The sequence below is a fragment of the Homo sapiens genome, chromosome 9 (genome assembly GCF_000001405.40).
Source record: "Homo sapiens chromosome 9, GRCh38.p14 Primary Assembly".
Taxonomy (NCBI): Eukaryota; Metazoa; Chordata; class Mammalia; order Primates; family Hominidae; genus Homo; species Homo sapiens.
In genome coordinates, this window is record NC_000009.12 from 116,530,201 (window position 1) to 116,555,485 (window position 25,285).

At 40.9% G+C, this 25,285-nt stretch overlaps 1 protein-coding gene and 1 long non-coding RNA gene across 8 annotated transcripts in view, besides 4 other annotated features; one reads left to right on the plus strand and one right to left on the minus strand.

The window, feature by feature from the left end:
* The window catches only part of ASTN2 (astrotactin 2), a 991,946-nt gene that overhangs the window by 107,089 nt on the left and 859,572 nt on the right, over positions 1-25,285 (minus strand). The window lies entirely within an intron of this gene.
* Positions 1-25,285, plus strand: part of ASTN2-AS1 (ASTN2 antisense RNA 1) — a 58,011-nt gene that overhangs the window by 25,918 nt on the left and 6,808 nt on the right. Inside the window, exons 2-10 of the long non-coding RNA NR_033973.1 lie at positions 10,240-10,539; positions 13,473-13,641; positions 15,549-15,627; positions 15,752-15,940; positions 16,349-16,499; positions 17,114-17,234; positions 17,337-17,482; positions 20,787-20,893; positions 21,910-22,002. This is a non-coding gene — a long non-coding RNA (ASTN2 antisense RNA 1). The remainder of the gene's footprint in view (positions 1-10,239; positions 10,540-13,472; positions 13,642-15,548; positions 15,628-15,751; positions 15,941-16,348; positions 16,500-17,113; positions 17,235-17,336; positions 17,483-20,786; positions 20,894-21,909; positions 22,003-25,285) is intronic.
* Positions 9,305-10,504: an enhancer, noted in NCBI's record as "MED14-independent group 3 enhancer chr9:119301784-119302983 (GRCh37/hg19 assembly coordinates)". NCBI's record gives its function as "activates an origin of replication core promoter dependent on BRD2, BRD4, P300/CBP and CDK7 cofactors, and independent of MED14, by STARR-seq in HCT116 cells {active_cell/tissue: HCT116}" and the evidence as "EXISTENCE:reporter gene assay evidence [ECO:0000049][PMID:35650434]".
* Positions 17,130-17,424: an enhancer, noted in NCBI's record as "tiled region #10185; HepG2 Activating DNase matched - State 5:Enh". NCBI's record gives its function as "activates a minimal TATA promoter and a strong SV40 promoter by Sharpr-MPRA in HepG2 cells {active_cell/tissue: HepG2}" and the evidence as "EXISTENCE:reporter gene assay evidence [ECO:0000049][PMID:27701403]".
* Positions 17,535-17,704: an enhancer, noted in NCBI's record as "experimental_106457 CRE fragment used in MPRA reporter constructs". NCBI's record gives its function as "activates a minimal promoter by MPRAs in K562 erythroleukemia cells, with activity observed for both the introgressed and non-introgressed 9:119310099 variant alleles {active_cell/tissue: K562}" and the evidence as "EXISTENCE:reporter gene assay evidence [ECO:0000049][PMID:34662402]".
* Positions 20,678-20,847: an enhancer, noted in NCBI's record as "experimental_106460 CRE fragment used in MPRA reporter constructs". NCBI's record gives its function as "activates a minimal promoter by MPRAs in K562 erythroleukemia cells, with activity observed for the introgressed 9:119313242 variant allele {active_cell/tissue: K562}" and the evidence as "EXISTENCE:reporter gene assay evidence [ECO:0000049][PMID:34662402]".

Consider the following 25,285-nt stretch of genomic DNA (forward strand, 5'->3'; position numbering starts at 1 on the left):
ATATGGATGGACCTAGAGGACATTATGTTAAGTGAAATAAGCTAGGTACTGAAAGACAAATACCATACGATCTCACTTACAAATGAAATCTAAAATAGTCAAACTAATAGAGAGTAAAATCATGGTTACTACATGTTACCACTTTGGGTACTCAGGAAATGTTGGTCAAAGGACACAAAATTTTAGTTAGGAAGAATAAATTTAAGAGACCTATTGTACATCATGGTGACTATACTTAATAATATATTGTATGCTTGAAAATTGAAAAGAGAATAAATTGTGTGTTCTCATTATGAAAAATTAGTATGTGAGGTAATGCATATCTGAAATAGTTTGATCTTAGCCATTCTACAATTTATACATATATCAAATATCATGCTGTATACCATAAATATATATAATTTCTACTTATCAGAAAAATAAGTAACTAAAACAAGAAAATATCTGATGAATTAATGAATAAATGATAAAATGAATGAGCCAAACAGGAGTCAAGAAATAGGCCAGAAGACTCTTCAATATGAGAATAACCTTTTCCTCTCAACTAAATTAGAGTTCTCCTGATATTCCTTTTTATAACACCTATCTTCCATTCATAGCACCTCTCATGATTTGAATTGCCTACATATGTCTGTTAAGTCAATATCTGTCAGCTTCATTTGATAATCCCCCAATAGCGGGGACCATTTCTCTTTTTATTCCTTGAATACTCAGCACCTAGGACAGAGCATGACATGCAACTGGCACTAAATACATATTTATTAAATAAATGAATACACAGATATTTTAAGTTATTAAAAAACAGAAAATTAATCCCTGATGGAATTTAAAGACAAAGTGTAGCATTTTATTCAATTACTATGTATTAATGTAAGCTGAGACACGTTCTTGGCCCCATCTCATCCATTAGTCTGAGTTAGGGGCATAGTCTGTGTTCTCATTTTCTCTTCCACTCTCTGTCGATGGAAACACTTATCATCTGTGTTGTGTTTGTCCATGTTCTTGTCTTCTGGCCTACTAGGCTATAATCTCCAAAATGGAACCACCTTTCATTCGTATTTATGTCTTAAATGTATGGCCATGGTACTCAAATATGGCAATAGGGCATAATCACAATTCTAAAGTTCTTTTGACATATGATACAGAGGCCCTCTGCTTACTGATGTTTACAATTTTTTTATTATACTTTAAGTTCTAGGGTACATATGCACAACGTGCAGGTTTGTTACATATGTATACGTGTGCCATGTCGGTGTGTTGCACCCATTAACTCGTCATTTATATTAGGTATATCTCCTAATGCTACCACTCCCCCTCCCCCCACCCCACGACAGGCCCCGGTGTTTGATATTCCCCTTCCTGTGTCCAAGTGTTCTCATTGTTCAATTCCCATCTATGAGTGAGAACATGTGGTGGTTGGTTTTTTGTCCTTGTGATAGTTTGCTGAGAATGATGGTTTCCAGCTTCATCCACGTTCCTACAAAGGACATGAACTCATCCTTTTTTATGGCTACATAGTATTCCATGGTGTATATGTGCCACATTTTCTTAATCCAATCTATCACTGATGGACATTTGGGTTGGTTCCAAGTCTTTGCTATTGTAAATAGTGCCGCAGAAAACATACGTGTGCATGTGTCTTTATAGCAGCATGACTTATAATCCTTTGGGTATATACCCAGTAATGGGATGGCTGGGTCAAATGGTATTTCTAGTTCTAGATCCTTGAGGAATCACCACACTGTCTTCCACAATGGTTCAACTAGTTTACTGTCCCACCAACAGTGTAAAAGTGTTCCTATTTCTCCACATCCTCTCCAGCACCTGTTGTTTCCTGACTTTTCAATGATTGCCATTCTAACTGGTGTGAGATGGTATCGCATTGTAGTTTTGATTTGCATTTCTCTGATGGCCAGTGATGATGAGCATTTTTGCATGTGTCTTTTGGCTGCATAAATGTCTTCTTTTGAGAAGTGTCTGTTCACATCCTTTGCCCACTTGCTGATGGGTTGTTTTTTTCTTGTAAATTTGTTTGAGTTCTTTGTAGATTCTGGATATTAGCCCTTTGTCAGATGAGTAGATTGCAAAAATTTTCTCCCATTCTGTAGGTTGCTTGTTCACTCTGATGGTATTTCCTTTTGCTGTGCAGAAGCTCTTTGGTTTAATTAGATCCCATTTGTCAACTTTGGCTTTTGTTGCCACTGTTTTTGGTGTTTTAGATATGAGGTCCTTGCCCATGCCTATGTCCTGAATGGTATTGCCTAGGATTTCTTCTAGGGTTTTTATGGTTTTAGGTCTAATATTTAAGTCTTCAATCCACCTTGAATTAATTTTTGTATAAGGTGTAAGGAAGGGATCCAGTTTCAGCTTTCTACATATGGCTAGCCAGTTTTCCCAGCACCATTTGTTAAATAAGGAATCCTTTCCCCATTTCTTGTTTTTGTCAGGTTTGTCAAAGATCAGATAGTTGTAGATGTGTGGTATTATTTCTGAGGGCTCTGTTCTGTTCCATTGGTCTATATCTCTGTTTTGGTACCAGTACTATGCTGTTTTGGTTACTATAGCCTTGTAGTATAGTTTGAAGTCAGGTAGTGTGATGCCTCCAGCTTTGTTCTTTTTGCTTCAGGTTGTCTTGGCAATTCGGACTCTTTTTTGTTTCCACATGAACTTTAAAGTAGTTTTTCCAATTCTGTGAAGAAAGTCATTGGTAGCTTGCTGGGGATGGCACTGAATCTATAAATTACCTTGGGCAGTATGGCCATTTTGCAATATTGATTCTTCCTATCCATGAGCATGGAATGTTCTTCCATTTGTTTGTGTCCTCTTTTATCTCATTGAGCAGTGGTTTGTAGTTATCCTTGAAGAGTTCCTTCACATCCCTTGTAAGTTGGATTCCTAGGTATTTTATTCTTTTTGAAGCAATTGTGAATGGGAGTTCACTTATGATTTGGCTCTCTGTTTGTCTGTTATTGGTGTATAAGAATGCTTGTGATTTTTGCACATTGATTTTGTATCCTGAGACTTTGCTGAAGTTGCTTATCAGCTTAAGGGGATTTTGGGCTGAGACAATGGGGTTTTCTAAATATACAATCATGTCATCTGCAAACAGGGACAATTTGACTTCCTCTTTTCCTAATTGAATACCCTTTATTTCTTTCTCCTGCCTGATTGCCCTGGCCAGAACTCCCAACGCTATGTTGAATAGGAGTGGTGAGAGAGGGTATCCCTGTCTTGTGCCAGTTTTCAAAGGGAATGCTTCCAGTTTTTGTCTGTTCAGTATGATATTGGCTGTGGGTTTGTCATAAATAGCTCTTATTATTTTCAGAAATGTCCCATCAACACCTAATTTACTGAGATTTTTTAGCATGAAGCGCTGTTGAATTTTGTCAAATGGCTTTTCTGCATCTATTGAGATAATCATGTGATTTTTGTCATTGGTTCTGTTCATATGCTGGATTATGTTTATTGATTTGCATATGTTGAACCAGCCTTGCATCCCAGGGATGAAGCCCACTTGATCATGGTGGATAAGCTTTTTGATGTGCTGCTGGATTCGGTTTGCCAGTATTTTATTGAAGATTTTTGCATCGATGTTCATCAGGGATATTGGTCTAAAATTCTCTTTTTTTGTTGTGTCTCTGCCAGGCTTTGGTATCAGGATGATGCTGGCCTCATAAAATGAGTTAGGGAGGAGTCCCTCTTTTCCTACTGATTGGAATAGTTTCAGAAGGAATGGCACAAGCTCCTCCTTGTACCTCTGGTAGAATTTGGCTGTGAATCCATCTGGTCCTGGAATTTTTTTGGTTGGTAGGCTTTAAATTATTGCCTCAGTTTCAGAGCCTGTTATTGGTCTATTCAGGGATTCAACTTCTTCCTGGTTTAGTCTTGGGAGGGTGGATGTGTCCAGGAATTTATCCATTTTTTCTAGATTTTCTAGCTTATCTGTGTAGAGTTGTCTCTAGTATTCTCTGATGGTAGTTTGTATTTCTGTGGGATAGGTGGTGATATCCCCTTTATCATTTTTTATTGCGTCTATTAGATTCTTCTCTCTTTTCTTCTTTATGAGTCTTGCTAGTGGTCTATCAATTTTGTTGATCTTTTCAAAAAACCAGCTCCTGGATTCATTGATTTTTCGAATGGTTTTTTGTGTCTCTATTTCCTTCAGTTCTGCTCTGATCTTAGTTATTTCTTGCCTTCTGCTAGTTTTTGAATGTGTTTGCTCTTGCTTCTCTAGTTCTTTTAATTATGATGTTAGGGTGTCAATTTTAGATCTTTCCTGCTTTCTCTTGTGGGCATTTAGTGCTATAAATCTCCCTCACACACTGCTTTAAATGTGTCCCAGAGATTCTTGTATGTTATGACTTTGTTCTCTTTGATTTCAAAGAACATCTTTATTTCTGCCTTCATTTCGTTATGTACCCAGTAGTCATTCAGGAACAGGTTGTTCAGTTTCCATGTAGTTGAGTGGTTTTGAGTGAGTTTCTTAATCCTGAGGTCTAGTTTGATTGCACTGTGTTCTGAGAGACAGTTTGTTTTAATTCCTGTTCTTTTACATTTGCTGAGGAGTGCTTTACTTCCAACTATGTGGTCAATTTTGGAATAAGTGCGATGTGGTGCTGAGAAGAATGTATATTCTGTTGACTTGGGGTGGAGAGTTTTGTAGATGTCTATTAGGTCCACTTGGTGCAGAACTGAGTTTAATTCCTAGATACCCTTGTTAACTTTCTGTCTCATTGATCTGTCTAATGTTGACAGTGGGGTGTTAAAGTCTCCCATTTTTATTGTGTGGGAGCCTAAGTCTCTTTGTAGGTCTCTAAGGACTTGCTTTATGAATCTGGGTGCTCCTGTATTGGGTGCATGTATATTTAGGATAGTTAGCTCTTCTTGTTGAATTGGTCCCTTTACCATTATGTAATGGCCTTCTTTGTCTCTTTTGATCTTTATTGGTTTAAAGTCTGTTTTATCAGAGTCTAGGATTGCAACCTCTGCCTTTTTGTATTTTCCTTTTGCTTGGTAGATCTTCCTCCATCCCTTTATTTTGAGCCTATGTGTGTCTCTGCACATGAGATGGATATCCTGAATACAGCACACTGATGGGTCTTGACTCTTTGTCCAATTTGCCAATCTGTGTCTTTTAATTGGAGCATTTAGCCCATTTACATTTAAGGTTAATATTGTTATATGTGAGTTTGATCCTGTCATTATGATGTTAGCTGGTTATTTTGTTTGTTAGTTGATGCAGTTTCCTCCTAGCATCGATGGTCTTTGCAATTTGGCGTGTTTTTGCTGGTACCGGTTGTTCCTTTCCATGTTTAGTTCTTCCTTCAGGAGCTCTTGTAGGGCAGGCCTGGTGGTGACAAAATCCCTTAGCATTTGCTTGTCTATAAAGGATTTTTATCTCTCCTTCATTTATGAAGCTTAGTTTCGCTGGATATGAAATTCTGGGTGGAAAATTCTTTTATTTAAGAATGTTGAATATTAGCCTCCACTCTCTTCGGCTTGTAGAGTTTCTGCTGAGAGATCAGCTGTTAATCTGATGGGCTTCCCTTTGTTGGTAACCCGACCTTTCTCTCTGGCTGCCCTTAACATTTTTTCCTTCATTTCAACTTTGGTGAATCTGATAATTATGTGTCTTGGAGTTGTTCTTCTTGAGGATTATCTTTGTGGCTTTCTCTGTATTTCCTGAATTTGAATGTTGGCCTGCCTTGCTAGGTTGGAGAAGTTCTCCTGGATAACATCCTGCAGAGTGTTTTCCAACTTGGTTCCATTCTCCCCGTCACTTTCAGGTACACCAATCAGATGTAGGTTTGGTCTGTTCACATAGTCCCATATTTCTTGGAGGCTTTGTTTGTTTCTTTTTATTCTCTTTTCTCTAAACTTCTCTTCTTGCTTCATTTCATTCATTTGATCTTCAATCACTGATACCCTTTCTTCCAGCTGATCAAATCGGCTACTGAAGCTTGTGCATTCGTCACGTAGTTATCGTGCCATGGTTTTCAGCTCCATCAGGTCATTTAAGGACTTCTCTGCATTGGTTATTCTAGTTAGCCATTCTTCTAATCTTTTTTCAAGGTTTTTATCTTCTTTGCGATGGGTTCAAACTTCCTCCTTTAGCTCGGAGAAGTTTGGTCTTCTGAAGCCTTCTTCTCTCAACTCCTCAAAGTCTTTCTCCGTCCAGCTTTGTTCTGTTGCTGGTGAGGAGCTGCGTTCCTTTGGAGGTGGAGAGGTGCTCTGATTTTTAGAATTTTCAGCTTTTCTGCTCTGCTTTTTCCCCATCTTTGTGGTTTTATCTACCTTTGGTCTTTGATGATGGTGACGTACAGATGGGGTTTTGGTGTGGATGTCCTTTCTGTTTGTTAGTTTTCCTTCTAACAGTCAGGACCCTCAGCTGCAGGTCTGTTGGAGTTTGCTGGAGGTCCACTCCAGACCCTGTTTGCCTGGGTATCAGCAGCGGAGGCTGCAGAACATCGAATATTGCTGAACAGCAAATGTTGCGGCCTGATCGTTCCTCTGGAATTTTCGTCTCAGAGAGTTACCCAGCTGTGTGAGGTGTCAGTCTGCCCCTACTAGGGGGTGCCTCCCAGTTAGGCTTCTCAGGGGTCAGGGACCCACTTGAGGAGGCAGTCTGTCTGTTCTCAGATCTCAAACTCCATGCTGGGAGAACCACTACTCTCTTCAAAGCTGTCAGACAGGGACATTTAAGTCTACAGAGGTTTCTGCTGCCTTTTATTAGGCTATGCCCTGCCCCCAGAGGTGGAGTCTACAGAGGCAGGCAGGCCTCCTTGAGCTGTGGTGGGCTCCACCCCTTTTGAGCTTCCTGGCCACTTTGTTTACCTACTCAAGCCTCAGCAATGGTGGGCGCCCCTCCCCCAGCCTTGCTGCTGCCTTGCAGTTCGATCTCAGACTGCTGTGCTAGCAATGAGTGAGGCTCCATGGGCATGAGACCCTCCGAGCCACGTGCGGGATATAATCTCCTGGTGTGCCGTTTGCTCAGTTGGAAATGCAGAAATTACCCATCTTCTGTGTCGCTCACACTGGGAGCTGTAGACTGGAGCTGTTCCTATTTGGCCATCTTGGAACCCAAATTTCTATAATTTTTTTCTTTTACTTGGCCTTGTTGTTCTCCAAAATTTATTCATGTTTACATAATGGTGGTACAAACAGAAATGCAACTTTGGTTTCACAATTTACATTGATAACTTCACATTCATTTGACAGTTTATTTCTGACAATTACAGATTTTACCTCCTTCTTGAACCTATGGACATTATATGAGACACAGTGATATGTGTAATGATGTGTAATGTATACATGTGGTAGGAACCCTGGGAACTGTAAACATACAGTGAAGCCCTGGAAGGTGAATAATTAAAATTTGGTGAAAGCTAACTGCTCTTGAGATTTTAAAGCCAGAAAACCTAAGAGTATCTCTTAGAGAAAATTTTATGTATGATCCAGGATTTGGAAAGACCATTCACTGCAAATTGGTAAAATCAGAGAACTCCACTGACTATCATAGAATCAGAAGAGCTGAGGCAGATGCCCTGTGGGAACAGGATACTAACATAGAATCAAAAAATCAAACCTCTAGAGATAGGTACTAAGAGTAATGGTAGTGATTCAAACCAGAGAGTAAGATCTGAGCCATGAAAGCAGGGATTAGGAGAGTACCATTTGTAAATACAAGGCACTCTAGTGTGTTCTTTTACATAGTTATCACAACAAACCTTCCAGGATACTCCAGTTTTACAGAGAATGGGATGGAGGCTCAGAGAGGCTTAATAATTTGCCTAAGGTCATACTGCTTATCAGTGTCCATATCAAAATTTGAAACAAGATCTGTATGAATCCAAATTAAGTGTTGAACCCACTATACAACAATGCCTCCTAGTTGATGCTTAGGCTGCCTGTAGCTCATCTGATAGGAATGAATAAGAGCTATGGTCCCCATTCCTGGATTAGAAATAAAGGAAAGAAGAAAGGGAGGGAGGAAGGGATGGAGGAAGGGAAAGAGGGAAGAAGGGACTGAGAGGGAGAAAAAGAAAGAATGAAAAAGACAGAAAGAAAGGAAGAAAGGAGCAAACGGAGGAATGAAGGAAGGGAATGAGGAAGAAAGGGAGGGAGGAAGCAAGGAAAGAAGCGAGGAAGAAAGGAAGGAAGGAAACAAGGAAGGAAAAGAAAGAAATTTGGGGTTCTACACTAGCACTACTGAAAATAAATCTTCAGGGATGTGTGGCCCATGACTTTGTATTTTAAAAACTTTCTTCAGGTGATTCTCATACCCAAGGGCAGAGAACCACAGAGCTGAAGGGGACTCTTGCTCTAGTTGTGGTGTTCGACTTGTGAATTCTAAATTCACTCAAGTTTTAAGGTTTTGTGTCCTAAGTCTCTTGCCTGTTGGATCTCAGAGTGAAAATTCTTCATGTTGATCTAAGGAAAAGTACTTAAAATTATATTCCATGCTTTGTTAATTCTAAAATGCACAATTTTTGCCTTTGAATATGTCTGAAATTGAGATGCATCCTACAAGTGATGATGCCATACAGTTTCCATCAACCAGGCAGCAAATATCATCACCTGTGCTTATGTGAATCTGGCTGTCATTCCTGGTGGTCCACCTAGATAAGTACAATCCTTAACATTTCAGGCCAAACTCCTTAAGAATTAATTTTGGAAAGAAAATGGATCCTGACAGTTGTCTAACAAACTTCATTGACAAGAACTAGTAAGATAAAGAAAGCAGCATCATTCATTAAAACTTGAAAGAAAACACCAGAAATAATAATGGAGTCTTCTTTTAAGAAAAACAGCAATAAAAATGAACAACATACTGGTACATGCTACGACATGGACGAACCTTGAGAACTAAGTGAAGAAGCAAGTCACAGAAAAAAGCAGATGTGGCATGATTCCATTTATATGAAATGTTCAGAGTAGGCAAATCAACAAAGACAGAAGGTAGGTTAGTGGTTGCATAGGGTTGAGGAAATAAGGGGAAAGTAAGGAGTGACTGCTAATGGGTATAGGGTTTATTTTGGGGTGTTGAAAATGTCCTAAAATTGACCGTGGTGATAATCGCACAACTCTGTCAATGTGCTATCAAATTGTACACTTTCAATGGGTGAAGTTGTATGGTATGTAAATTATATTGCAATGAAGCTATTAAAAAAATCTATGAGGGAGGGAAAAAAAAAAGAAATGTAACATTACTAACTGTCTGGCTGGCAGAGAGGACAATAGTATATGGAAAAAAAATTTAAAGACTGAGTCAAAAAGTGGTTTAGAAAAGGCAGACACTGAATGCAAAGTTTTATGAACATTTGAACACTTATTTTGTTTATAGCACAAGAACGATGCACAGTAGTCCCCACTTTCCAGGGAGGATATGTTTTAAGACCCCAGTGGACGTCTGAAACCACAGATGGTACCAACCCTATATATACTATGGTTTTCAATCTAATAACCTGGACGGCTACTGAGTGACTAACGGGTGTATACGCTGGACAAAGGAATGCTTCACACCCTGGGTGGGATGGTGCAAGATTTCATCACACTGCTCAGAATGGCGTGGATTTACAACTTATGAATTGTTTACTTCTGGAATTTTCTATTTAATATTTTTGGACTTTAGCTGATTACAGGTGACTGAAACTGGAGAAGACAAAACCATGGATAAGTGGAGACTACTGTATTATAAAAATATAATCAGAATAAATGAGCCCTTTCAATGAGCTCCAAAAATATAATTGATAAGAAACCATTGGGTTATAGTTCAGTTGGCATCATTTTCTTTGCTTTATAAATGGCACATAAAATAAAGTGTCTCTTAAAATGAATCGCATCTTGATGTGATAAAATATAGCATGTGACTCAGCTACATGAGACTGCTTTTCCAGCCAATGGCTAGCTGTAAAATACTGGCTGTATTCTTTACCTTCTCCATTCCTAAGATTTCATGTCTCTATATTGGGTCTATTTCTATGGATCCTCTTGGCTCTGAGATATTCTAGTTCTAATTCAAATTTTTATTCATGTCTGGTGGGAAATTTATCATTTATTATTAGATCCTGCATCAGATCACAGGCTTAAAACATAAGGAAAAGAGAAAAAAAATCATACCCATCTAAATTTATCTTTTACTGAAAGAAACATGCAAGAAGAAAGAGGTAAAATGATTTCTTGCAGTTTTCCCTCTAATTATATGTAGAGTTTCACTTCTTAATCCTCTCTGAATCTCAGATCCCCAGAGACGTGAAGATGCATGGAATAACACGTGAAGAGAGGAAACTTCGGGCCTGTGGTCAAAATGTGTTCACCACGGCAGACAACTGCTTGGGTGACAGCTTTGGCCTCTGGATGAATTCTCCTTGGCGAGCAATCGTCCCACCTGTAGGTGCCTTCATGATCGTCTGTGTGCAGGGCACCAAGCAGGCCATCTAAAGCCACTAATCTCAAAGAGAGCTTACCCAGGGACAGGACTTTCCAAAAGGAAAGGAGCACAATAGAAGAGAATGGCTGCTGCTAAGTTCCATCCAACAGGTGAATTTAGTGGATTTTAAAATTCCTTTTTAGTTGCTGGTCTTCATAAGAGATTATTTTTGTCTAAAATGCAAGCACCCATTTTTATCTTGCAGTCTCCAAAATAATTGAGAAATTGGAAATGCCTAAATGTCCAGCACTAAATAAATGATTAATAATATTTGAGATACCCATATTATGAAACAGTATATGAACATGAAAATTTTTACAAAAGTTTTTCCCCTAGTTTTGAAACTAGGGGAAAAAGTTTGAATGCCACATCTAATGAAAAAAAAAAGCAGAAAAAAATATACATGACATTCTCCACTATATAAGGAATGGACATTGAGGAAAGAAATATGCCAAAATTATGATATTATTAGGCTGGTATAGTTGTAACTTACTCATGTTTCTGCATTCCCATTCTATAATAAATGTGTCATACTCTTTTCTATCATAAAATTAATTTTACACAATTTTAAACATTTTTCTTATAACAGAAAATAAAATGTGATCATAGTAGGAAATTTAGGCGGGAAAGAGAAAATATAAATCTGCCAGATCTAACACAAAGAAAATAACTGATAATATAACATTTTGGTATATACTCTTATAGTCATTTTTTCTTGAACAGATGGACAATACAGAGAGTGAGAAAGGGTCTATAATCTTATGAGCCACTGCAAGTTCTACCCAACCTATAATGAGAGCAGGCCCCAACACATGGAACACTGGGCCCTTGTTGCCATGGTTTTCCTAGTTAACTCTATTGCTTTAATCATAGTTAATTGGACTGAGAGTAAAAACTTAACCCAAGGTGATCCACTCACATTTATTGCCCAGGAATTACAGCTGATAGTACTAAGGTACCAGGAAGATAGGCAGTGGATGAAACACTGCACCAGATTGGGGAAGTGACTCTAACCATGGGCAGATGGAAGCAGAGACAGAACAAGGCAAGAGCTGATGGGCCCTCCAAAGACTGAGAGAATAGCACATGTGGTGTCTAATAACTTCTCAGATTCTGTGTCTTCTTGATTTATAAGATTTCCCCTTCAGCTCTCAATAAAGACATCCACATCCCTAAAACCAGAAGTGCTTTAATTATATACCATTTTAAATTAAATTTTTAAATTTTAAGATAATTGTAGATTCATATGCAGTTATAAGAAATAATAGAGAGAGACCTTGTGTACTCTTTACCCAGTTTTCTCCTGTGGTAACATCTTGCAAACCTATAATTCAATATCACAGCCAGGATACTGGTATCGACACAGTCAAGAAACAGAACATTTTCATTACCACAATTATTTCTCATGATTTTTTTTATAGTCACACTACTTTCCTCTTGCTCCTGCTCCACATACTATTTTGTAAAATGTTTTCTGCAATAGTAATATTTAAATGACTGTCTTTTATTTCCTTTTTATTAAACATTATTTAACTGAACCCTAATAAACACCCTTACATGTAAATCTTTTATAAATAACTTTTCTTAGAATAAGCAAATTCTCTTGATACATATTGCTAATTTGCCTTCAAGAAAGTTTGACAAATTTACATTAGCACCAACAAAATATTTTTAATGAAATAAAAAGGTAACATAAACTTTTAGTGGTTTATAAGATCTTCTGAGATCCATCATTTACAAGGGTGCCTAATAAATTCTGCCACTTCAATTGAGCAAGTTGTTTTAAAATCAGATCAGTTCAAGTTAATATGTTTATTACTTTTGGTCAAAGATCATTGCAAGGGTATTAGAAAAAAATATAAATTCAATGTTAACTTTAAAAACAACTTAGAAAAACCTGAACAAAGCCAAGTTATATATATTCTGGGAAAAAAATAGATTACATTTTGGAGTTACAAAAGAGAATCATCAGTCCCATCCATCAAAATGTTGTTTTAAGACTATTATTTTTGGCTGGGTGTGGTGGCTCATACCTGTAATCCCAGCACTTCTGGAGGCTGAAGTGGGCTGATCACCTGAGCTCAGGAGTTCAAGACCAGCCTGGGCAACATGGAGAAGCCCTTCCAAAAATACAAAAAGTAGCTGGGCATGGTGGCAGGTGCCTGTAATCCTCCCAGCTACTTGAGGGGCTGAGGCAGGAGGATTGCTTCAGCCTGGGAGGCAGAGATTGCAGTGAGCTGAGATTGTGCCACTGCACTACAGCCTGGGTGACAGAGCAAAACTCTATCTCAAAAAAACAAAACAAAACAAAAGACTATTATTTTTGGTATAAGCTTGATGTTCACCTTTGGAATCATCCAGCTGAAAAAAAAATCATATAGTATCTTGTTGGACAGAAATATTTTTGGAACTCTCTTTTAAATTGATTATAACCTCTACTAGATAAGCACCCTAAAGACCATCCGGCACATTTTTTGGTTGGTTGGTTGTTTTTGCATGCATAGAAAAAATTGAAAGAAAATGAAGAGAGTTCTTCATAATCACAGGTATAGAGATTATAGCATAAGGGCAGTCTGATTGCTTGAGCTCAGGAGTTTGAGACCAGCCTGGGCAACATAACAAAACCCTATCTGTATGAAAACTACAAAAAAAAAAAAATTAGCTGGGCATGGTGGCGTGTGACTGCCGTCCCAGCTATTCTGAAGGCTGAGGTGGGAGGATCACCCAAGCCTAGGGAGGCTGAGGCTGCAATGATCCATCATTTTACCACTGCACTCTAGCCTGGGCAACAGAGTGACACCCTGTCTCAAAAAAAAAAAAAAAATTGTCAGTCTAATACACACTGTTGTTGATCATGGTGTACAGTAGTTTTGCAACAGATTGCCATAAAAAAAGTTTAACATTCATTAAAAAACAGGAGTTCCACAAGGTAAAATAACTCACTGCTGTGCCATATCCTGTGTTGTTCAGTTGAACCAGTGATCCCTTTCAAATTATAATCCCTTAAGATAATAGTCTTTATTTTCCTTGTCCCTCTCTCCAGTGGCCTCTTTTGAAAAGTCGTCCTCATCCACAGATGGTCAACATTATGATGGAATTTTGTTTTCCTCTCATGTGAATTTGGAGCTGATAGATGCTTCTCAGCTCCTTGCTGGGACCTCACTGACAAACCCGCTGGCCCCAGAACTACTTGTGACATCAGGATGACGCTTGTGAGGTTCCTGTTGGTATCTTCTGCTGAGCTACAGGGCCCAGTGGACAAACACTGATGAGAACGTGAAGTTCAGAATTCGTTACTGCCCCTCACAAAGCCTATGTGACCGGGAGTAGATGACTAAACCCTTCACTGTCTTTTCTCCTATTAGAACATAACATTGTCTAGTTCTAACACAGAGAACAGAAAATGAGTTAGCAATGTCCAAATTCCCTGCAGAAACACTTGGGAATCGACTGCCAAAACGACCTTCTCTGCAAATTCAGGGGTTACACTCAAAACTCTCCAAGGGCACTTAGTGGCTGACATACTAGTATTCTATGATGAATCAGCCCTGAAATTTGCACTGAGACAGTCATACTAAGGAATATGCAGTGTCTGGGGAGAAATGAGGTATTTGGATGAAAAATGGAGTGTCCCCAGATATTTGGGGGAGGAGATAGGAGCAACCCAGAAACCCTCCATGTCTAATCAAGTGACTCATCTTGTGACAGCAGTCCCCATCCTCCATTCCACCTCACCAAAAAAAGATGTTTTGCATCGAAAATCACCATTCACAAAGAACACAAGGTGTCTTAGACATGATAGTAGTAGGTCTTTCCCTGAAATGCTCCACCTTTGCTCCTTTAAAATTTTTAGCAGTTATTTGCTATGTTTCCCCATGCCAGAAAAAGAGGAAAGGATGATTTGGGTTCTTCTATTTATGTAGATGTCACGTGCTTTTGACAGTTCCATCACATTTCTGACAGTTACATATTTTTATTCATGAGTTATTTGATGGATTGGTTCTTTGGGGGCATCAGAAGTTTACACTGGAACAAAGTTAAGGACATACAGACCTCATACTTTTGACACCAAAGGTCACACTTTGGATTAGGCGCTAGGGGCCAGGCCTCTAGACCACAGGAGCAAACACAACAGCAGTTTTTCAGAAGCCAAATCGGTGGGAAACAAGGCAAAGATGAAGCTGAGAGAGATTTTTGTGGCTGTTTTAAGGACATAAAAAGTCATGAAGCATAAAAAGGCCTCATAGGGATTCCCCCTTATTCCCAGCTGCAGAAACATTCTGCCTAGCTCATTTTGGAATCTGAGCCAGAAGACCCTTGGTGAGAGTGCCAATGGCCTGCTCCTGGCCCAGCTACCTGCTCCCCTGTATGCCTTAGAAAACATGGACAGGCCCGGCTCCTCCTCAGCCTTGGGACAGTTCCTTCCAGCTTCCCAGCCAGCTTCCCAGAGATGTTCTTGGACTGCACCAGCAACTGCTGGCCTAGAGTCAGTCCAAGTGCCCAGATGTGCCAATGCAGAGCCAGGGATGCCAGACTTGGCATGGGGGTCCGCCTGCCTGGGGCCATTGGCTTGCCTCAAGAAAATAGAGTTTGAGAGGGCCTGGAGTTTCAGCCCCTAGATGGGGCTGGGTGCCAGTGGTTTTCTGTAATTACACATGGTCCTAAAATGTGTTGTTCTCAAAATTGGAAAATGAACTGTGGATTGGAGTCTCCACATGTACCCACCATTCTATACAAAATGCTTCATTTGGGAATATTCAATTCTTTTTCATTTCCTTAAAGCAGTCATTTTTCAAACATTTTCAAAGCAGTAGAATCCACCTTTCCAAGAAACCTTACACATATATCCCACAGGGAAACCGACGAGATTGGGGCTTACACACCCTACTCCATTAAGCAATTTCATTGTATAGCTTGTCATCCCCTGAGGTCTAACCACAGTTTCCTTAAGCTTGCAGAAAAACTTATTTGAAAGCAATAGTTTAAGAAGTTTTAGAAACAAATCCATTCTTTCTTAAAATCCAATGTTTTCATGACCAATTTTTAGCAGAAAAAAAATAAGAAAATTCATATTTTTTTCAGTGTCAAAATTCATTCAACAAACATTTTCTGAATATAGGGTACAAGCCAGGCACTGAGCTGGGCATTGAGGATGAAGAGATGAAACACAATTCTAGCATCTAAATAGACCTTGGTTGGTGAGTGGCCTTGGGAAAGTCATTTGCATCTCTCTGAGTCCCTGTGAAATCATGAAGGAAAAAAGTGCTAACAATGTGAGAACTGATGATTATTGTCATATGGACTCTTCATTTTACACTAAAGGAAGTTGAGTTCCAGAGTGGGATATCAGACTCAAGGCCCAGACTTCACTTCTGGTCTCCTGACTTCCAAGTGAACAGTGTTGCAGCTTCCCTGACTGCAGTTATAGGAGAAGACAGGGAGGAGATAAAGATGAGAGTGCCTCGGGAAGAGCAGGGATGGAGGAGACAACCTGAGTCTTCTGATCCAAAGGTAAAAACTGAAGATACTGAGTATTAGATGATGGGGCAAAAGGACTGCAGAAGTTGGGTATTCAGAGCCTCATAGAAATGACGTGAAAATCCAATATACCAGTTTGGTATACAATGAGTTCCCATTACAGATGACATTCCTTATGGTTTTCACAGCATTTACACTGCCAGTATCATATTTAACCCTCCCAGCAAGCATCTAGATAGGGTAGGAGGGACATTGTCCCCATTTCAGAAATGGAGAAACTGAGTCTCAGAGATGTAAGCTGACTTGCCCAATGTTGAACAACTGATAAGTAGCAGAGCCTGGATACCTTAGTGAGTCAGGGGCTATGAGTTCTACCCTTTCTGTTCCAGTTGAGTAATGTATTGAGTTAAGAGATAGGCATGGGTCTGAATTCTGTCCTAGGAGTGTGAAGATGGAGTGACATTGAGAGAACTGCAGAAGAAAGGGACTTGGCATTTATGGAGCATACACCTGTACCATCATATCAAAATGCAACACAGCTATTGCCTCTTGGAACATTATAATAGAATGGGGAAATCAAGTATATAAAGAGGTAAATAGCATCTAGGGTCATGAGTCCTATACCAGAGATATGCACAGGAGCTTGTTTAATGATTATAGCAACCAGGTAACAGACTTTTTACTAAATTTCCAACTCTCTGATGAGAAAACTGCGACTCTGAGAGTCCAAGTAACCAGCTCCCAGGTCATGCAATCAATACATTGAGGGAGCAGGCGTTGAACTCTTGTCACTGACTCCAAAGCCCTCTTTGTACTTTACCCAGCTGCCCGCAGCTTCTATGAGAGTGTCTGCAGGCACGCCGGCTGGAGGGGGTAGGAATAATATTATTTCATTTATGTTTTATTTATGTGGTGGTGTGATATTTATCTAGCAGCTTTCATCTGGGAAATGTGAAGTGTTTTATAAACAGGTTCTTATTTTTTTCTCCCTCCCCTTCCACTCCTCCACCTGAGTACTTAAGAACCAAAGAGGTTTCCAGAGAAGACCAAGGTCACAAGGGTGGACAGATGTATATGGGATGGTGGTTCCCCATGTGTGGATGCAGCTGTGTTTGGTGATAACAGCAATAATCTCTTAGATTTGTATATCCCTCTGTTGTTTACTAACCTGTTTCGTGTCCAACTTTTATTTGATACCCACACCAGTCATGTGAAATTGGCAAGACAAGCATCAATTTACAGAGGAGGAAACTGAGGTCCAGAGAGATCAATTAAACTGTCTAAAGTCACATGGCCTGACATAAAAGTAGTGGAGAGTCAAACTCAGGTCTGCTGATTCATACAAAAACAGTGTTGTGTAATGGCTAAGAGGCTGAACTTTGGAATCAGGCTGAATTGAGTTTGATTCTGATCTCCTCTGTGCCTTCAGGGCTATGTACCTGCGGTGGTGGACTTCATCTTTCCAATCCTACTTCCTTATCTGTGAAGTGGGCAAACCAATCATTTTTACCCCAGAGAGCTGTGAAGAACCTGTATCAGTTATACAGAAAGTTAAAGAACTTATCGCAGTGCCTGGTAGGTGGAGATCTCTCAATAAACAGCAGCTATAACTAAGATCCCAACCAAGGTCTCTTTCCACTATAACCAGTGTCTGAGAGGAGGGCTTGGAGCTCACATACACCTGAGAGGGTCTATTTGCAGGCAGGTCAAGGCGCCCGGTTTACCTGAGCTGCCCCCCAAGCTGAGGTTCTGTGTCCCATTCCCTCCCCTCCAGGCATCAGCCTCTGCGTGGGGTGCATTCTCAGGCAGGCTGTCTGAGGCAGCAGCTGCGGGAGGCATACACTCCCAACTCACCCCCACACACCCTGCCCACCTGTCTCCACTCCTTGCCTCTGGCAGCCCCACTTTGCCTAGGAGAAAAGCAGCAAACCTGCGTCCTCAGGTGCTCTCCTCTTAGCTCCCCCACCCCAGGATGCAGCCAAAGAAAACCAAAGCACTCTGTTTTCTAAGCCGGAGCCAGGAGCGATTCCCGTAAGGCACTGCCTGGCTTAATGGGGCTGTGTCTGGGCCTTGCCTCTAAGCCAGGCTCTGGCAGTCAGGAGGCTGCCCTCCTGCCTGGCTCCATCAGAGGCCGTGGCATTTGCTTAAGGTGATTCAAAGTCGAGGCCAAGGGGACAGAGATGGCAGGAGGCTTGGTTCTGGTTCTGTCTGTACTGACTCACAGCATGACTCTGGACATGACCCTGACCAGCTCCAGGCCTCAGTGCCTCTGTCTCTCTACCTTTACTAAACGGCAGCTGCTTCTATGTCAGTAATTCTTTACCCTGGCTGCATATGAGAATGACCTGGGGGAGGGTTTTGTTGTTGTTGTTTTGATTTTTTGAGACTGAGTTTCACTCTTGTTGCCCAGGCTGGAGTGCCATGGCGTGATCTCAGCTCATTGCAACCTCTGCCTCCTGGGTTCAAGTGATTCTCCTGTCTCAGCCTCCTGAGTATCTGGGATTACAGGTGCCCCCCACTATGCTCGGCTAATTTTTGGTACTTTTAGTAGATATGGGGTTTCACCATGTTGGCCAGGTTGGTCTCGAACTCCTGACCTCAGGTGATCCACCGGCCTCAGCCTCCCAAAGTGCTGGGATTATAGGTGTTAGCCACTGTGCCCGGCCTGGGGAAGGTTTTAAAAATGAACACCTGTGCCCCATCCCCATAAATTACCATTGAACTGGCTTGGTATAGGGGTCTGGGCAGCAGTACTTTTCAGAAGCTCAATAGGTGATTCCTGTAGGCAACCAGGGTCTAGATCCATGACCCTAAATAAATGCTGAGATCCCTGTAAGCTTTTGCATTTAAGGATTCTATCAAAGAGATAAAGGAGTAAGAAACAGAGACTTCTAGAAGGAGAAATTCTGATGGGTTTTGGTCTTTAAAGTATCATCAAATTAAGTTGTCTCATTGGACAGATGGGAAAATTGGGGCCCCAAACTAAGGGATGAGTTTAAAACCACATAATGAGCGGCTGGTGGCCTGGTCTAGAACCTGTGTCATCTGAAGCAAACCACAAAAATGTCAGTAATAAAAAGATCAGAGGAGGAGGAGGAGGAAGCTGAAAATAAAGAAAGAAGGAAATGCAAAAAAGGGCAAATAAAAAATGAAAAAAAAAAAACAGAAGGAAGTAAAAGAAAGGAATGGGAGGTCAGGGAAGAGAAAGGGGTAAAACGTAGAGGGACAAAAAGAAATAAAAGCCACAACTGAGGCACGAGCAACTCGGATAGTACCCTGTGAGTCAGGGCAGCTCTGAGCCACACTTGGCTGTACAGTTCGTATTTGGCAATTGCAACCCGGGCAAGAGCTCTGATCCCAGCTGGGGCCCCAGGCCCAGGGCTGGAGCCTGCGTGGGGACGGTCTGACTCACAGCTGCTACTTCCTCACCCTGTTTCCAGCCTCTTGCTCAATCCAGGCAGGAGGCAGGATAGATGCTCTTTTGCAAGGTGATCCCAGCCCAGAGGGCCCTGCAACCTTTATGAAACGATTCTGGTTAGGTGTAGGAAACAAATGGGGCAGCAGACCCTGTACTCCCAACATGCTGAACAGCAAGATGACTCCCAAAGCGGCCAGCCCTTTCCTGCCTCCAGGCCTTTGTTTGATGCCCATTTCCACTGGAGTGCCCTTCCCCACAGATACCCTGCCTCACATGGCATCTGAGGCCTCCCAAGTCTGGCCCTGTAATATCTCTCTACTCATGGTTCCCCTCCATGCTTTCTACACTACCCATAAAGCCATTTATTAAAAGTAATGGCAAAAACCACAATTACCAACCTTAAGACATTTACTACTCCTCACCTTTGCTTATGATGTGCTCACTCTCCTACGCAATGGAACCCACAGGCATCTTTCAAATCCCACAAACACACAAAAATCCCACATGAAATGTCCCTGCTTTAATTCCATCTTTCCAAATGGCTTTCTCTTATCACTACAGTCAAAATCATTCTCTCTCTTCTACAACTCCACATCAAGTGTTCAGTCTGTCCCCTGTAATACTTAGCACTCTGACTCTTTTATCTCAGACCACAAAATTGGAAGTTCTACGTGACCAGATTTACATCCATATAACGTCTCTGGGCATAAACTGTGAACTGTGACAGATCTGGGTTTCAATCTAGCTTCCACCACCTGCTATCTGTCTGCTTCAAAGCACAGTATCTTCATCTGCAATATAAACCTGTCAATTTTACCCTGTATTATAGTTTTAAGTATTACTAGCAATAATACAGGAGGAGTATCTGGAACATAGTGCCAGCTTTAAAAAACAGTTACTTTGCTGTTGTCATGAGTCACCTATGGGATTCCCTATGGGATCCTGTGCTGGGTCTGGCCTGGAGTGGTCTTCAGAAAATGTAGCTTACATTACTCAACTGAAGCTCAGTTGCTCTCTGAAAACAGTGTGGGCAAGGTGGGGATTGGGAGAGGAAAAGGGAGAGAAAATAAGAATGCGTCCAACAGTGCTGCAATATAAGGATGTTGTTCTGCTCTTTTACTCGTGAAAGAAATGAAGGCTGGCAGATCTACAGCAACTTTAACACTCAAAAACTCATTCCCTCCTCCTAATATCCCTGAGAGATAGGCAGGAATTCCTGTCCCTGACAAATGCAGAAAGATCCAACCTGATGCAGGTGGGTTGGGACAAGGTAAAGTTAGGGCTTAAACTCTCCTGCCCTTTAGAGGCCTTGCTGTAAGACTCTGCTGCCTGCTAGGAGAGGAAGCAGTCTTGGCTCCCGTTATGAATAGATGTCAGCCTTTTGGCACAATGCAACCCAACTGTCAGCCTAAAGGAAGCCGCATGTACTCAGGGAAACCCTGTCTGCTCTGCCTTTCACAGGAAGCCAGGATGTGGAGCCAGGAGAGAAGGGGCATTCAAAGGGCCTGGGAGACCCTTGGTGAAAACAATCAGTTGGTTTCAACATCCCAGAGAGATTCTCAATCAGGGTGAGTCTCAAATATTAGTAGACATAAAAATCACCTGGGGAGAGTGTAAAAAAATAAAAATTCCCAGAAATTCTGGTTCAGTCATTTTGGGGCCAACCTAGTCATTTGCATTAATCAGCATGCACTCCCTGATGATTCTGATATAAATGAATCACATGTTGCAAAATGCTTTAGCCTGTTCCCTAATCTAAATCTTATCTCTCTCCTCTCAGCCTGGTCTACCCCTCCTTCAGAATTACCTTTTACTGAGAACACTGAGAAAATCAATGTGCATATCCCATTCCCTTTATTCTGCCATCACCCATAATTTCTTCCTGTCCTGTTTCATCTGGGCCGTATAGACTAGGAGAGGGATGTTTGAGAGAGTAACAGCAACCTTCAACCTCTATAAAACCAGCTCCTGCCCTTCCTGACTCCTTGGGACTCAGTTCTATCAGTTACTGTATTTCCTTTCCTCTGGAATTGCTTCTCCTCCAATCTTTCCCATTTGGGGGACTGGCCCCAACATTCAGAGTCAGTGGTCTTGGTTAAACCCTCTGTGCCTATATCCGCTCTGCCCACTGTCTTTTCCTCCAGCACCCCCTACAACACAAACACACATCACTCATAACCCATGGATCCCACCTCTCAGTACCTCCATCCTCACTGCCATCATTCTAGTTTAGTCTTCATTTCTCCCAAAAACACTGTAGTTCAATAAGGCTAGAAAAGACAGTATGAGAGGGTAAGAAATCAAGCTGGAGAGTGCGGGAGCAGGAACTTTTAGTCTCAGATTCTCAGGAAATAGGAAGAACTGTGAAGAATTGTAGGGGAGGTAGAGAAAAGGAAAATGCTATCTAGCCAAATTTGTAGCTCTATCCATAATGATATGTCCAAAAGATTCTGAAGTAGCCTGCCACATATACATATACATATACATACACATATACATATACATACACATATACATATACTTAATTGCAATAATTTTCAGATAAAGCAAAGGCATCCATGAAGACTTTGCTTCCTTCTTCTAGTAGCTCACAGAGACCAAAGTTGGCACACAGCACTCTCCTAACACTAAAGACTCTACAACTCCTTCTTCATGGGATGTGTGAAAGCACAGAGAGGTGAGTAAGGTGTTTTTTTAGTTAACTTCCTTCCCATGCCTCATATCTGTTACATAGAAAGGGCATATCACTGGGAAAATAATGTGTTTTGCTCATTTTATTTATTTTCTTTGAGAAAATTGGTGTCAGAGTTAAGGGGGATAAGTGTTTTTCATACTCTTTTATTTAAACATAGAACTATTTATTCCTAATAAAATCTCATGGGAAAACTCAACAGGTAAAGGTAAAACATTCTGCTAGTAGCAGGAACTTAGTAGGCTCAAGCTCTCATCCACTAGAATTTGCCTCTCTCAGTGATTCCTGGGGTGCCTCAAAGTATGCCTACAGTCTAATAACATCATTTTGAAAACTGCTGAGCTAGTCCACACACATTATTTTGAAAGGAGAGAAGGAGAGACTTATCAGAGCTCATATATCAAGTCACAGTGGAACTGGGATTTGAACCCTTGATTCCTGACTCTCCTCCCAGTACTCCACCAGCTAGATGACTCTGCTATGTGTTCTGGGGTAAAAAGCCCAACTCAGGAGTCAAAGCAAAAATAAAGATCCCAAGGCCTGGTGCCCTAAAACTTGGCATCACCAGGGATGAGGTTTGGGGCCAGACACTCTGATCTAAGCTGCATGGGCACAGTCAGTGGACGTGCACAACCTCTGCAGGGCAGTCAAGGGCTTTTCTTGGGATTTTATGGCTTACAGTGGAAATCCATTAAATTATTAGTGTGATGAAGAGAATGGGAAAGGTTGCAGCAAGGTTGGCTAGCAGGACTGAAGGTGAAAAGACTCACTACAGAGAAAGTTCAGGCAGCATCAGAGGATGAGGCCAGGTAAGACAGAGAATTGAAGGCTTCCCCTGGCTGCATATCTTAAAAGATGTCTGAGTTAGGCTTAGGCAAAATCTCCTCCTTAAGAGCAAGTTCCCCCTTCCTCCTCTTTCTTCTTCTTTTTTTAATGGTTTGCTGGTTTGAGGAAGATTCTGTGGACCTGCAGACGTGCCAGGGAAGAAGCCAGAAAGTCTACCTTTGACTCTAAAACAAGAATGGTCGATAATCACTCGGACCTCACTTCATTTTAGTTTCCAAATTAAAAATAATAAAAAGGTGCAACTTTAGATGTTTATGGCATTCACCTCTAAAGAGCCCTAGCGGAGGGAGGGAAGTCCAGAGAGTACTGGCCCAGTGGTCACTGCTTGTTTTCCTTAACTTTTCTCTTCTGAACTTCAATTTCCCTTCCTCTGTTATGTCACTGTTATCCTCGGCAGATATTTTCTGCACAGAAACGATGTGTCCAGGACAGTGTTAGGCTTTGCAATGGAACAGAAAACAAATGTGAGAAAAATATTCCACTCTCAAAATGTTTATAAGCATGTAGCTCTGAGATGTAGCAGAAAGTGCATTGGCTTGGGGATCAGGAAGACTTGAGCCCAAGTCGAACTTTTACCTTCCTAGGCTGGTGTGATGGATAAATCACTTCAGCTGGGCCTCCACTTTTCCATGCATGAGGTAGGGACCACAGCACTTACCTAGCACACCTAGCCACATTGCCAGTACTCAACAAAGGTTATAGCCTCTTTTCCCTCTCTTAGACAGTCTGGGAAAGTCAAATTTGGGGTGAACCTGTCTTTTGACTTTCTGACCTTAGGCAAAAATTGAAGTTTTAGAAAACTGCTATGGAAGGACAAGATATCAGCCTCCAAAGGGTCTTCTATTAGCTATGGGTGGATGCATCTAAAGGTGTAAGTTGTTCAGTGAGCATTGAACGAATGAACGAATGAATGAATGTATGAATAAATGAATAAATGAACAAGCTACCCACAGTCAAAGTTCAACATGCCTGTGACTTATTTACTTTTTAGTTTTTATAATTTAGCACAGATTACCTAATCACTTTATCACTATAGTAGTTACATTAGTTCACTTAACTCTCATGTCCTTCTTATGTATGATGGAAAAATATGCAGTGGTAGATAGAATGCTGAATATGTATTATCTCTCGTAATGATACCACAGAGACACAGTGTTGCTGTGAAAAATATGTATAATATTTTTCTCAAGAAAATCCTTACCTATGAGACCCTATACGTGGAAGGTGAATTGTTTCCTTCAAAGAGGCAACTTGGTGGATGTTAAGAAGACAGGGAGGACCCACTTTGGGATCTGGTGTCAAGAGTCTAGTCCTATCATTGTCACAGGTTTGCTGTGATCAGAAGCCGGTCCTTTCCATAGTAAAAATCATTCTATTGTGTTACATGGTATTTACGAAAGTGTGGAACACATCAGAATCAAATCATTTAATGCAAAGGAAGCCTCCCACACTTTCTAATTTTCTTATAGTGCTTCAAATTAAGTCATGAAGGATGGCTTGTTTTAGTGCTAATATGTCCTTGACACCTCTGTAACATTCGCCAGCCTCCCTTTTTTAGAAGAGAGAGACCAAGGCTCTGGCTCAGAACATTCCAGAGGCAACAGTATCTGTCTAGAATTTTATAAAATTCTTTTGTTTTCACTGTATTGATTTTTAGAGTTATCTTCTATTTATGGCATGTAATCCTGGTTTTCCATTTACCAGTAGTGTTACATATTTCCATTTTGAAATCATTGATTTTAACCAAAAATAAAAAAAGAAAGAAGAAAAGAAAGAAATGAGTCAATTTCAAGAAAAACACATTAAGTTAATAATATCCCAGGTATGGCAAAATTGTGAAGGTGATGCTCAGATGAGATGCAGGAGACACTGTGCTTGTTGATTTTCCAGGGTCTTTCGAGGAGGGAAACTGTGAGATTATCTGTGCACTGCAAACCCTGAAACTGCCAGCCAGAACATTCTAATGGAGATTAAATGAACTTCAGTTTTCATGACAGCTTCTGGGAAAATTAGTTTGTATAAAGTGATACCCAGATATTCATGAGCAACTATTATCTTTAATTGGTGCTTGTAAGAGAGAAAAACGGGTCTATAGAGACTGAAAAGGCTAAAGTGCCCTTTAACTTTAGAGGCCACAGAAAACAGCCCACACTGCCCAGAGGCCACCCCAGCAAGAGGCTGAGGGCCTATGTGTTCTTCGAGCTCCCCCAGTCTGCGCCTCTCTGCTCCCTGGCCAAGAAGAGAGACAAGGCCAGCTGCACAGGCTGGCCCACTTTCGCGCTGCTGAGATCTCTGAGCCAAAGTGAGCTAGGGGCCCGGATTCAGGCCTCTTCCCCTGCTCTGTCCCCACTCTCAGTTTGAAATATAGCAGAGCAGGAAGGTGAAACCAGGACAACCCTAAACTGTAGAGAATGGGTTTAAG